This window comes from Homo sapiens, chromosome 13, assembly GCF_000001405.40.
Source record: "Homo sapiens chromosome 13, GRCh38.p14 Primary Assembly".
In the NCBI taxonomy this organism is placed as follows: Eukaryota; Metazoa; Chordata; class Mammalia; order Primates; family Hominidae; genus Homo; species Homo sapiens.
Window position 1 is genome coordinate 85,326,898 of NC_000013.11, and position 13,808 is coordinate 85,340,705.

A 13,808-nucleotide genomic window follows, 5' to 3' on the forward strand; every position below is an offset into this window, starting at 1 on the left:
CTGTGTAGTCCAATTACAATTTCTGTGTCATTTCAGAAAAGTTTTAAAGAGAAATATTTTTTCTTCACAATTATTTGTTAGGCATCATCCTAAGGGCAAATGTACATCTCCAGTTTAATATAAAAAATATAAATATATTACTCCTTTAAGAGAAGAGTAAAATTAAGAAAAAAACTGTATTATGTGTATTAATATTTAAAGATAACTTCACGGTAATGTGTGCACCAGGAAAGTAATTTGAAAATTATTATATTAATAGAATATCTCCATCTTTGGCTTTAATTGTAATTTACATGTCAAATGATTTCAGTGAGAAAGCAAATTCTTAGGTAAGGCATAATTTTGTTTCTCATTAAAATTATTTAATTTTTACTGAATCGAAATTTGTATATATTTATTGTGTATGTCATGATGTTTTGAAATCTGCATTTATTATGGAAGTCTAAATTAAATAACATGCATAACTTTATATACTTATTTTTATGGTGAAAACACAAAATACGTCTTAGAAATTTTAAAGAATACAATGCATTATTATTAAACATAGCCAACTTGTATGATAGATATCTTAAACTTATTCCTGCTAACTGAAATTTTGTGTCCTTTGACCAACGTACTCTTACCCTCACCCCAGCACCTGATAACCACAACTCTGCTCTCTGCTTCTGTGAATTCAACATTTTTAGATTCCACATGTGAGATCATGTGATATTTATCTTTCTGTGCCTAGCTTATTTCACTTAATGTCTTACAAGCTCTTCCAGGTTTTCACAAAAACAAAACAAAATATAACAAAAAAAGAGGAGTTTCTTCCTTTTTAAGACTGAATAATATTCCATTGTGTACATATACCATATTTTCTTTAACCATTCATTCATTATGGACACTTAGTATAATAGCGTGATTACACTGTAATTACTGTAATTGTCTTGGTTATAGTGAATCATGCTGCAGTGAACATGGGAGTGCAGATATCTGTTCAACATATTAATTTTTGTCCTTCGAATATATACCCAGTAGTAGGATTGTTGAATCATACGGTAGTTTTATTTTTAATTTTTTGAGGACCCTCCACACTGTTTCCCATAATTGTAGTACTAATCTACATACCCATCACAGTGTGCGAGTTTTTCTTTTCCTCTACATTCTTGCAAATACTTCTACTTGACATTTTTATATAACAGCTATATCTCCATTTTTATCTTTCATGTTTGCATGTTGTTTAATGAACTAGAAACAGAAAACAATCAGAGAGGTTGGAGTATACATCTTAAATATTTCACTTGTAAATGTCTACTTTGATATTCAAAACAAATTTTTCTCAAGCCTAGTTGAGCCTAGTTGGTTCAGCCATGGCAATATCACATCAAGCAATAGGTAGGAAACCTCAGAAAGGTAGAAATGAGAATGAGAACAAAGATATCTTAGACATGGGTATGAACTGCTAAAAAATGTCTGTGTATCAATCTTCCTACATGTTTAGACTAATATGGCTATGATGTGGATATGCATCATATATGCATCGTATATTAAACTTCTTTATACATATTATATAATATAAATACATCATGCACTTTATAAAACATTATAGAGTCATGTTTCACTTAATGATAGGGATATGTTCTAAGAAATGCATTATTAGATGATTGTATCATTGTGCAAACGTCATAGAGTGTCCTTGAACAAAGCTACATCATATAGCCTACTACACATGCAGGCTCTATGGTATAGGCTATTCTTCCTAGGCTACAAATCTGTACAGCATGTTACTATGCTGAATAATCTAAGCAACAGTAACACAATAATATTTGTATATCTAAATATATGTAAACATAGAAAAGATACAATAGGCTGGGTGATGGCTCACGCCGATAATCCCAGCACTTTGGGAGGCCAAGGCAGGAGGATTACTTGAGCCCGGGAGTTCAAGACCAGCCTAGACAATACAGTATAGTGAGACCCTGTCTGAGTAAAAATAATAAAAAAAGACACGGTAAAAATATGACAGCACAGTAGGTTTTCATACACGAACATCACAACAAACACATGAGCTGTGCTTTGCTTTCTGATGAAGCCACTAAGCAACGGAACTTTTCAGCTCCATCATAATCTTATGGGACCCTCAAAGGACATGCAGTCCATCATTTACCAAAACAATGTTCCATGACATGTTTCTATATATAATGAACTTTAAAAGGGTGTAAAAATATTTGGGTTTTTGGCCACCAACAAAATTTTATGCCAAACAAACCGTTATTTGTAGATTGCTTCATAAATATTTGTATAAGAATTTAAGAAAAATTAGTTGTTTTAAATTGATCAGTTCAAAATGAATTAAGATCAATGGTACAATAAATTCTAAAAGTGATATTTATTATAAGGGTTAGTGATGTATTTTATTTTATTTCTTTTTTTTCTTTTGCATTTTATTGTTAGTGACCTAAGTATTTTTATTTTATTTCACTCCTGTTTCCCAACTTTTATTTTAGGTTAAGGGGATGCATGTGCAGGTTTATTACATGGGTAAATTGTGTGTCACTGCGGTTTATTGTGCAATTTGATCCTGTCACCTAGGTAGTGAACATAATATTCAATAGGTAGTTTTTTTAACCTTTACTCCTCTGCCAGCCTCTGCCTTATAGTATTCCCCAGTGTCTATTGTTCCTATCTTAATGCCCACGTTTACTCAATGTTTAGGACCCTCTTATAGTTGACAACAGGTGGTATTTGGCTTTCTGTTCCTGTGTTAATTGCTTAGGATAATGGCCTCCATTGCGTCCATGTTGCTGCAAAAGACATGATTTTGTTATTTTTTATGGCTGCACAGTAATGAATTTTATTTTATTATTTATTTATTTATTTGAGACAGAGTTTCACTCTTGTTGCCCAGTCTGCAGTGAAATGGTGCAATCTCAGCTCACTGCAACCTCCACCTCCCAGGTTCAAGCGATTCTCCTGCCTCAGCCTCCCCAGTAGCTGGGATTACAGGTGCCTGCCACAACGTCTGGCTAATTTTTTTGTATTTTTAGTAGAGATGGGATTTCACCGTGTTGGCCAGGCTGGTCTCAAACTCCTGACCTCAGGTGATCCAACCACCACGGTCTCCCAAAGTGCTGGGATTACAGGCGTGAGGCAGTGCGCCTGGCCAGTAATGAATTTTAGATACATATTTAAAAAATGATTCTGTGCCATGTTTCATCGCAATAAAATCATTAAAAATAAAATCCAGCCACAGCTTATTAAGAACAGTTTGTGAATAACCACTTTGTGCACTGGCATTCATGTGTAAATGTATTATATTTAATAATTAGTATGCATATTAAATGTTATATATCATGCTATGTTTCTAAGCTGTTTATTAACTACGAGATTGTTCAAGTAACTTAAGTAACATGATGCAAACTCTAAAAAGTAGTCACAAAGGTAAATCCGATTAAAGCTGATCAAAGAGGAAACTTGTTAGAGCTAGTCATAAAGTTTTTGGGGATATTCAAATGGAACTTTGTGAATTTTAAATATGTTAAAATATTGCTGCTGCTCCTCGGGAATATGTTAAAATGTTAAATATTTAAAATGCTAAAGAATAATTTTCTTGATTGACTCTCCACTTTTATGAACACATTCATGTACTTCATCATTTTTAATATCAGTATTAAAGGAACATCAATAGGTATTTCAGACTCCCAATATGCTAATTTAATTTGGCCATCATGGAATATTTCCTAAGTAACAACCAAACCTGTTTGTGCTTGCGTTTTAGTTTTTAGCAGTAGTGCTTTTCACAGAAGCAAATTCTGACGGCAGTTAGTGTAACTCTTCTAGCTTAACAGTGTTAAAGTTTTTTTTTTGTCTTTTTCACTGTAATTTAAACATTTATTCCTGTAGAATTTCCATTTGAAAGTAGTTGAACTCTTTTATATTTAGTACCTGCATAATTTGGGAGTCCCCAAGACCACTCCCACTTTGGATGCCAACCGCAAGTTTGGGAATCCCCGACAGCACCCTCACTTCTGACACAAACCACAAGTACAGAGGTTCCCAAAATTATCCCCAGGTTTGGTAACTTGCTAAAGAAATCACAGAACTCTCCAAACCTGTCAGACTCATGGTGACAGTTTATTATAGTGAAAGGATACCAATTAAAATCATTCAAGGAGAGAGTGCACAGGGTGGGACCCAAGAGGTTTTCGAGCATGAGCTTCTGGTGGTCTTCTCGGTGGAGGACAACTTCTAGTTTCTCCCAGTGAAGTTATGCAAAACAATGATTTTTCTTTTCTCATTGATGTGTGATGACACCCATGGAATACTACCAACTAATGAAGATCATCCAGGCCTTGGTGTCCAGAGCTTCTATTGATGATCAGTCACAAATTTTGGTAGACTTCCCGCATGACCAGCCTTTGTCCCCATCCCCTCCAGAGGTCAAGATATTACCAGATAGTCCAAAGCCTGCACTGTAAGTCACATGGTTAGCATAGAGTATTTAGGATTCCCCAAGTCTTGAAGGTAAACAAAGGCATTCTTATAAGGCACTCCTATCTAAGCATATTCCATGTGCTTAGAGATTACCTCCCAGGAAATGAAGGAAAATGCCAGACCTCTCTTCAGCAATATTAATTTTGTACTTCACAGGACCTTAAACTTAATTTACTGAATTATACATTGTATGTGTATGTTCAAATGAAACAAGAAAAAACATTTATGAAGTTTGCATTAAATCCAGAGCTTCATTATTTTTCTGAAAGAGTGTTAAATACGAAAATTTAAAGAGAATTTCATTATTTCACTGTTTTAGATTTAATTGTACTTCCTCATCAGTTTATAAAGTAGATAACAATGATCAAAAAATCTTGAAAGTGTATATATCTAATTTTAATATACTGTCACATGAAATTTTACTCTGATCTCCTAGAATGTAGAGAAAATGGCATAAAGAAGGACAAAACAAAATAATAACCTTACATTTAAAAATTTTGCTCTAAGAATTAGGAGACTGAGAGTCTTGTCCTGGTAGTGTGACTAATTTGTTATATGATTTGGGCTAATAGCTTAACCTTTCTAGAACTCAATTTGCCCATCTGTAATTAGTGAGCAGATTGAACTACATTGATTTTAAATTCCTTCATTACCTTCAAAATTCTACATATTTATACTTCTCAAAAAAGAGCTATGTAAGAATTAACCCATCATAAAGATAAAGTCAGATAATAAAAGCAGCATTCTTCCAATATTAAAAGGACCTAGAGAAATATTAAGAATTTGAGTTACTTTTATTTCTAGATCATAATTTTTGAACTTACTTTTATTAAATATCTCTCCCTAATATCTCAGCAAAGTAAAAACATTCACATTTAAGACAATCATGAACTTAATTTAATCAAATTAAATCAAATAATAAACTTATTTCAACATACAGCATCAACACATAGCCCTTTGCTCAGTATGCTTGAAGGATGTTGAATTTGCCTTGATTTTTCAGATTATTTATACAATTTTAAGCTTCATTTATATTCAGTAGTATAGATAAGTTAAAACAATGTAGCACAAATATATCCATTCTTTTATTATTCAAGTAAAATTTTTTGCAGTTTAAATATGCTGCTGAAATATCAATCATTACATGAATTATATTGAAAGGTATATAGATACACAAAGTCCATTAAATCTGCATTCTTTATACATTTTGTGATCTGTCTCTAATAGCTTTTATGCTTTGTTTTGTTTTTACCTTGAAATGGCATATTTACTCTGGCAATGATTTCTCAAGTAAAATATTTATTTCTGCTACAAAACTGTTTTATTTGGGTATTTCCTAACACTTCAAATGTTTGTTTCATTAGCAAACATTTGTTCTCCCAGCAAATATTTCCAAAATGGACTATTACTTTCAAGGGTTTTGGCAACAGTGTAGTATGGGCAGTAGGTTTGGCCAACTGTCTTTCCATCTGCTACTCTTGGTTCCCTGCAATTTTTTCCCAGTTAGCCAGGAACACTTTAGAGATTCCAGTGGCTTCCTGGAAAAAAGCATATTTAAACATTTTTTTCCACTGAAATTCAGGCCTTTACAAAACTCCACACCTAGTAAAACAAGAGATTTTATACATCGCTCGAATCTTTTGAAAGTTGGTGAACTTTCCATAATATTCCCTTTTAAAGTGAATAGATAACTTAAAATATAATCTACTAGAATAATACATAAAGAGAATATTAGTTACACACTCACACATATGCACACACATATATACAGCTTTTGAATTAGAAACATAAAATTTGAAAGTTGAAAACTTGCTACTTAAATTTTCTAATAAAAATCCAAAGTAGTTTGTTTTCACTGACAGAATAAATGAACATATTCACAGATAAAAATATTCCCCCAGATTTTTAAAGATACAAAATAAGGGGAAAATATGTTATGATTATATGAATTTTCAACAATTTCTTAAATAGGAAATTTAAAAAAGTATAAATTTAATATTATTAAAATGCTATTATTCTATATGTGATTTAACTTAATTTTATTTAGATGTCTGATTTGACTACGTTAATGTACAAATTAAAAGTTAATTCAGTAAATGTATTCAATCAATGAAACCTTGATAATTATATAAATAGGGGAAAAGAAAAGGAGATTCAGGGTACGTTGATTTCTATTTTCATCACAGGAAAAGGGTAGCAAGTGCCATGTAGAAGTGAAATTGGCACCCACTTATTTTTCTACTTCTTTAAAACATACCTGTTAGAGCAATTTTTGCTATTGTCCTCATCTCAAGCATGTAAATAAGATCAGTCTCATTCTGGACTTCTGTCATAATGCTTCCCACTCCATATTCCTGATTCCCTCATTCGTTGGCTCTATCCTTCTCTACCATAAATCCCTTTGGCCTCTTTCCTTATGCATTCTTTCCTCTCTGACTTATTGAATTAAAAGCCCACTCTCCCAACTCCAAACACTGACTCAGCATGGCCTCTTGATTCTGAAGTACCTGAGGTTGCCTGCAGTGTTTGATAAGGGATTTTTTTTTCTTTTTTCTTTTCTTTTTTTTTTTCTTTAAAAGTTGATGTGGAAGAATTGCTACTGCAATTCAGACTCACAAGTAATTCTATTAGATAGTTTGTAAGTAGATATGAAGAAGTGGTACCTTTTTCTGATAGTATGAAATATTCTCTTATGAGGGCTTTAAAAGCCCAATACACCTTTTCCCCATCTGAATTCTGAAACATTTGAGACATAAAAGAATGGCAGCGCCAGATGGAACACATAATATTATCACAATCACTAATAAATCCAGGCTAGACTAGACTGTGAGCCAAGCTGACTTACCACACCACCTACCCTACTTTAGTTCTGACCTAAAATAGAAAACAAAGGACAATTTCATTTCTGTACTGAGTAGATATGCTAATGTAGTCCCTTGCTGTAGACATCCCTAATCCCCATTCCCTTTCTTTCTCTTCCTTCCTTCCTTCCTTCCTTCCTTTCTTTCTTTCTGATCCACCCGCCTTAGCCTCTCAAAGTGCTGAGATTACAGTCGTGAGCCACCACACCCGGCCGACTTTTTTCCTTTATATCCTTGAGCTAAGCCTTTAAATCTATGCTTAACCATGAATGATCTGTTGCTCTCAAAGTAGACTAACAGCAGAGTCCATCAGAGCAGTCCATCCCACATTTATGAAGAACTTCTCCTTTGAGCATTGGCCTAAGATGGCTAGTGAAAAACTGCTATTGAAGATTTCCGCCAAAAGAGCTCTGAAATAAATTAGAAGAATGTATTAATAAAATGCATAAATAAAATCGATTCCAGGATTCCTTTAATTATTCTCCAGTTGTCTTAATACCTACTTGTGTGAATAAAGCTTCCATATTTTGCATCCTAACTACCTGGTAATTTCTCCAAACCCTACACATTGCAAGAAATCACCTTCAATTCTGCCTGATTCCTTGGTACTTAAATCCAAGTACTCTCTAAATGACCACAAGTTAAACTTCAGCTTTTTTAATATATCTGCATAGGAAGGCATAAAGGATAAACCAAGTAAAATAATAGTGCAGAATAATTGAAGACATTCTGCTTATATCCACATCATAGAAGAAAGGAAATAAATAGACCAGTCAAGATTTAAGCATTAAAGTAGGCAGCATACATTGTAACCTTTGTTCACAAATTCATTTCTATTTGAAACACTATTTAGACATATTGCCAAAACTCATGTTTCAAATGACTACTGCAAAGTTCTTGCTGAAGATGCTCTGGAAGTAAATTTGACCAGATGCGCCTGGTTAAATCTCCATTTTCTCATGTAGGTAACTGATATTTTCACAGTAAAGACACCTAGTACTACCTTTTCTGCTTCTAACCAATTTTACAGCCTTTGCTTTCTAATTAGAATAATGGACATATATTGATAGTCAGTAATTGGTTGGAAAAATGCATCATTTTACAATTTTGAAAACACTAGTCATATGCTCTTCAGTAAGTCCTTGATCTCATGAAGACATGGTCATTTTACTTCTATTTTGAGACCCCCTAAGATTTTATCAGCCTCATTCTATTATGAGGCCCCCTAACATTTTATCCACCTCATTCTCTCTATGAATGTAGTTGAGATTTTTTTTTTCTCGCATTCTCCACTATCCCTCTCTTCTGTATACCTCTGTGCTTTTCAGTCTTGGACATTAGGTGTTCTGTGTTTGTTTATGGACAAATACATTTGTCCATCAAGTCCTGCAAATATAAATATGTAGCTGAAATGATTATAAGAAATATAACTTCTTAGGTTCTGGATCTTCAAGAGTATGGTTCCATTTAAACTTCAACTAATTTTCCATTGAGAATAGCTCAATTATATTAAGGTTTTGCCTATTCAGTGTGCTTTCCATAGTCCTAGATTATGCCCTCCCTATTTTTTCTCTAACTTTAGTCAATTCTGCTTGTGTCTTCCTCTATTTTTTCTAACTTCATACATCTCAGAAACACATTTCCTTAGTACCTGCATCTATGTTCATGATAACAAAGTAACTTTGAAGCCTGCCCACCAAGGACTTGAATATTTAAGGCTTATCACATAGCCTTCCTTCTCATATCTATCCAAATAGTATATAGCCATTTGGTGCTGGTATCCCATTCTTCAAGGATGGCTTGCTCAATGACTTACTGTGGAATCCATCCAAATGTTGAGAGGAATCTTTGCTGTGGTTTCCTGGGTCCCAGTTTCTTCTGAGAGAGTTAATGGGTTCTTCTTGCTTAAGTCTTTTCTTTTCCCAACATCTCTATTGGCTACTGGTACTTTTCTTCAGCTAGTAACTTCCCCAAATTATTTTTTGGTCTAATCTTTAACAACGTTCATTTTAACAGGTTTCAAATCATTGATTTATTCTCTCACTCTCTCTCTTCTTCTCTCCATCTCTGTCTTCCATAAATATCTAGTTATCTAGCTTTTGTTTTAAAAGCTTTGGACTCTCCAAGTTTAATGTACTTCTTTTTCATATTTGGGTGCTTCTTGAATTAATCTTCTATCACTTATACAACTAAGACTGTCATTTAGACTACTAACTTATGCCTGACAACATAATTTGGTGCCTTAAATATCTGTACTGCTTCTGGAAGATTGACATTCCAAGTACACACTTTCCTTAAAACATGTTTGTTACAATATTGTCATCACTGTATTATATATCACAATATACATATATAATACACTTTTAACATTATTTTGTTCTAAGTATTAGTAATATTTTCGTAGTAGGGACCTCCATTTTTAATATATTTTAATATATTTTAAGTTTTTTAATTTACCACATATCTGTGAGAGTAAAGTTCTCTGCTTTACTAGGAATGATAAACATATAGTACATGCTGGGGAAGTATGTTCCCAGAGGAAATGGGAAGGAGATAAGCCATACTGATTTCCTTGTAAGACCTATTTTTGTCTGTGTGTGCCCTGCATGTTTAAACTGAAGGCCAAAATATCCTCTAATGGTTTAGAGATTGTACTAAGAAACTGAACATAAAGTGTAAAACTAATTAATCTACCAAATCCTCATTAGGTATACCCACAGGCTATTTTAAAAGAAACATTAACAAAATCAAGAACATCCTCAAGGCCAATGATCCCATGTACCCTGGCTTCAGAAAAAAGTTATCTATGTCTTCTTTCCTGGCTCATGTGCCTAAAGTTGTGAGTTTAATGAGCAGATGAAAAGCACTGTCCTTCTTTGCTTTATTTTTGAATCAATTAAGAAATGAAGCAGCAGAAGGAGATTTGCAGCATCTTTTATTAGTAATAAAGCTAGAATGGAGAGCACACTTTTTGCATATGCCACATGGCCTACTGTACTGCTTATCTCCTGGGTCTTATCCCGGGACTAGCACATCTGAGGAAAAATTGGAGATGCAAAGGGATATCCTTACCCAACATAACCAGGTGGTGGAAGATGGAGAAGGGAAACCAAATTACCTTTGTCCAAAACTTTTAGCAGATTTGCCCCACTCGGTTGAGCACTGTGAAACAATACCTCAACCAGGAAATGTACTCCATGTTTGCAGGGCAGAATAAGGGGCAGAGTGGTGTAAGAGGCGAAGGGTACAGAAGAAATCCATTTATGTAGAAACTGCCCCATAATCTTTCTAAGACATTATAACTCTGCGTATCTCTTTCACATCCTGCCTGAGCCCAGTCAAAAAAAAAAAATTAAAAATAGTGCCATTATGAGGCTTTACTCTTTGAAGTATCAGCAAGCAGATTCTCCTTTATGTGGGGAAAAGCTCTGTATAACCTCCTACAAAAGGCAAGTGGTGTGAATAGGTAAACTGCAAGAGAATCGAAGGGAATTGAGTAATCTTGAGTTTCCGAGTTCTGCTAGTAACAGCTTGAATAAATAATAATTTATTTTTCAATGCAGTTTTTCTCCATGAACATTCGATCCCTGGATAGGATGACTCAAACATTATCTTGAAAAACTGTGAGATTAATAGGGGGAAAAAAAAAGAATTGTATAGTTTCAAGAGATGTAAGCCAGGTATCATTTTGACGCTTTTTTTTTTTTATTTATTCAAGTAACTTAGCCTTGGTTATTCAGTTTCAAAAATGGCAAAACATTTTCTGCCATTAATTACATTGTAATAAAAGGATCATACGAGATATTTTATTTGAGAAAATTTTGTTCACTAAAAAGCAAGCTCAATAAAACAGAATATTTGTCAATTTTTTCTAAATTTTTATAACCCAATATCTAAAATAGTTCCTGAGTCATGGTAGGTACTTAGGAAATATTTGTTGAAACAAAAAGAACTTGGAAACATACCTACTTAATCTGATAGCATGATCTTCGATGATCACATTGACCTAATATTGAAATTATTATCTTTCAACTTCTACTGTAGAAACTTTACTATGAGATATTATGAAAGATTTGGAAGACGGAGTAAGTATAACCAAAAACAATGATACAATGTAAATTACTGCAATAATTTTGTGATATCTAGTTTTTCAAACTATATGACTTATAAGATATAAAATATTTTGTGAAATAACTTGCAATGTAAAAAATGTTGTTCTACACCAAATATTCAAAAAAGTGCTTTGGTGTATATTTTCTTATATATCAAATATTCAGAAATGTAATTTTTAAGGAAAAGAATATTATAGTAGAACTTAGATTGCTTACTCTCACATATTTGTAGAAATACAATGTTGAAATGTAATTCTGTATACAAAAGCTCTAAGAATATTAACTTTGGATCTTAGTAATATGTCAGAAGGGGAAAATTAGATGTTAATTACCATATATAATTAGAGCTAACATATTTATATGTTCAATAGTTTAAAGGCCTTGTGTAAGCAGCACAAAAGAAGCAAACATTTATTAGTTACTTGAATTACAGATTGATTAAGGAGTTAATTATAATTCTCCCTCCCATTTCTTTTTCTTAAAAAAATTATTTTCTGTGGTCAGACGGGGAATCGTTTAGCTATGTTTGATTTTCTAGCAGGTTGCACACATTGTTTAAATTCACATACATTAATATGTGAACAATTATGACTTTTCAAGTGTTAAAACACTTGCAACCAGCTTTGTTCACTCAAAATAAATGTGTTTTAAGATTTATCCAGTACCAGTTACTCTTTTCTAAAAATGCTATTTTGTTTTGCTATGTATTCCTACTTGTGAGTTTTCAATTTAAACTTTAAGTTCTGTGAAGATTATGTTTGAAATTTGATTCAATGATAGTTTGCTGGATAGGGTATTCTTAGATGACAGCATCTTTTCTATCTTCTATTATTCTCTTGAGTCCTCTTATTATTGAGAAGTAGTCTGCCATAAGTCAAATGTTGATCTTTGGTGGGTAATTTGTTTTGTATAATACTGTATTTTTAATGAATCTGCCTCTGTTCTTGTTATTCTTAAGTTTCAAGATTTGACTAAGTATAGGTTTTTTGAATTGTTTTTCTTATTGCCTCTATAGAAATTACAAATTCTAGGAATGAGGTTTTATTTTTAACCAATTTATGGAAATTCACAAACATTAACTCTTCAAATATGACCTACTCCCCAGTGTCTTCTATTTATTTTCTTTCGCATTCTCTTATTACACAAAAACTGAACCTTCACGATGTGTACTTATTTCTTAAACACTTCTGTTTCTTGCAGTATTCACTTTATGCCACTTTTATGCATTATGTGTAATGTCTTCAGATTTTTCTTTCAACTTAACAATTCTAACTTCAAATGAGGCTAATATTTTGCATAAATTGTCTTTGAATTTAAACTTGAATGGTTAATTATATAAATTTCTATTTGAATATTTTCCCACACCTAACAGTAGTGTTTAATATCTTATTCTTAGTCTGTGCTCCAAGAAAACTAATGGATTATTTGTTAAAAGTTGAAGAAAATCAAGCGAAGAATTATCTCAAAGCTGCTGTCTAGTGAGTGCCTACTATATGCTCAAAAGTCTACTTTTTTGGCAAGTCATAAAATAGCTCTGTGAGGATATCACTATTATCCTCTTTTTACATTTGAAAAAACTGAGTCTCAGATGTTCTAAGATTAAAACTGGGCTGCTCATACCTCTGGGATTATCCTGAGACTTTCCAAAGCATGTATGATCACAGACAGTAGTGAAGGGATCAATTTCCTTATCTAATTGTTCCATATTTTTTCTTAAAATGTATTTTGATGAAATGTTTGGTTAATTACTTTCATCTTTTTTTTTATTTTTATTTATTTATTTATTTTTTAGTATTTATTGATCATTCTTGGGTGTTTCTCGGAGAGGGGGATTTGGCAGGGTCATAGGACAATAGTGGAGGTAAGGTCAGCAGATAAACATGTGAACAAGGGTCCCTGGTTTTCCTAGGCAGAGGACCCTGCGGCCTTCCGCACTGTTTGTGTCCCTGGGTACTTGAGATTAGGGAGTGGTGATGACTCTTAAGGAGCATGCTGCCTTCAAGCATCTGTTTAACAAAGCACATCTTGCACCGCCCTTAATCCATTTAACCCTGAGTGCACACAGCACATGTTTCAGAGAGCACGGGGTTGGGGGTAAGGTTATAGATTAACAGCATCCCAAGGCAGAAGAGTTTTTCCCAGCACAGAACAAAATGGAGTCTCCTATGTCTACTTCTTTCTACACAGACACAGTAACAATCTGATTTCTCTTTCTTTTCCCCACATTTCCCCCTTTTCTATTCGACAAAACCACCATCGTCATCATGGCCCGTTCTCAATGAGCTGTTGGGTACACCTCCCAGACGGGGTGGCGGCCGGGCAGAGGGGCTCCTCACTTCCCAGAAAGGGCAGCCAGGCA

At 33.5% G+C, this 13,808-nt stretch overlaps 1 long non-coding RNA gene across 1 annotated transcript; it reads right to left on the reverse strand.

Moving 5' to 3' along the window:
• Positions 1 to 4,099: 4,099 nt before the first annotated feature.
• LOC105370292 (uncharacterized) lies at positions 4,100 to 7,424 on the reverse strand. Its single transcript, XR_001750064.2, has 2 exons — positions 6,734 to 7,424; positions 4,100 to 4,454 (listed from the first exon to the last, which is right to left on the reverse strand). It is a non-coding gene; the product is annotated as an uncharacterized LOC105370292 (long non-coding RNA).
• Between the last annotated feature and the right edge of the window lie 6,384 nt (positions 7,425 to 13,808).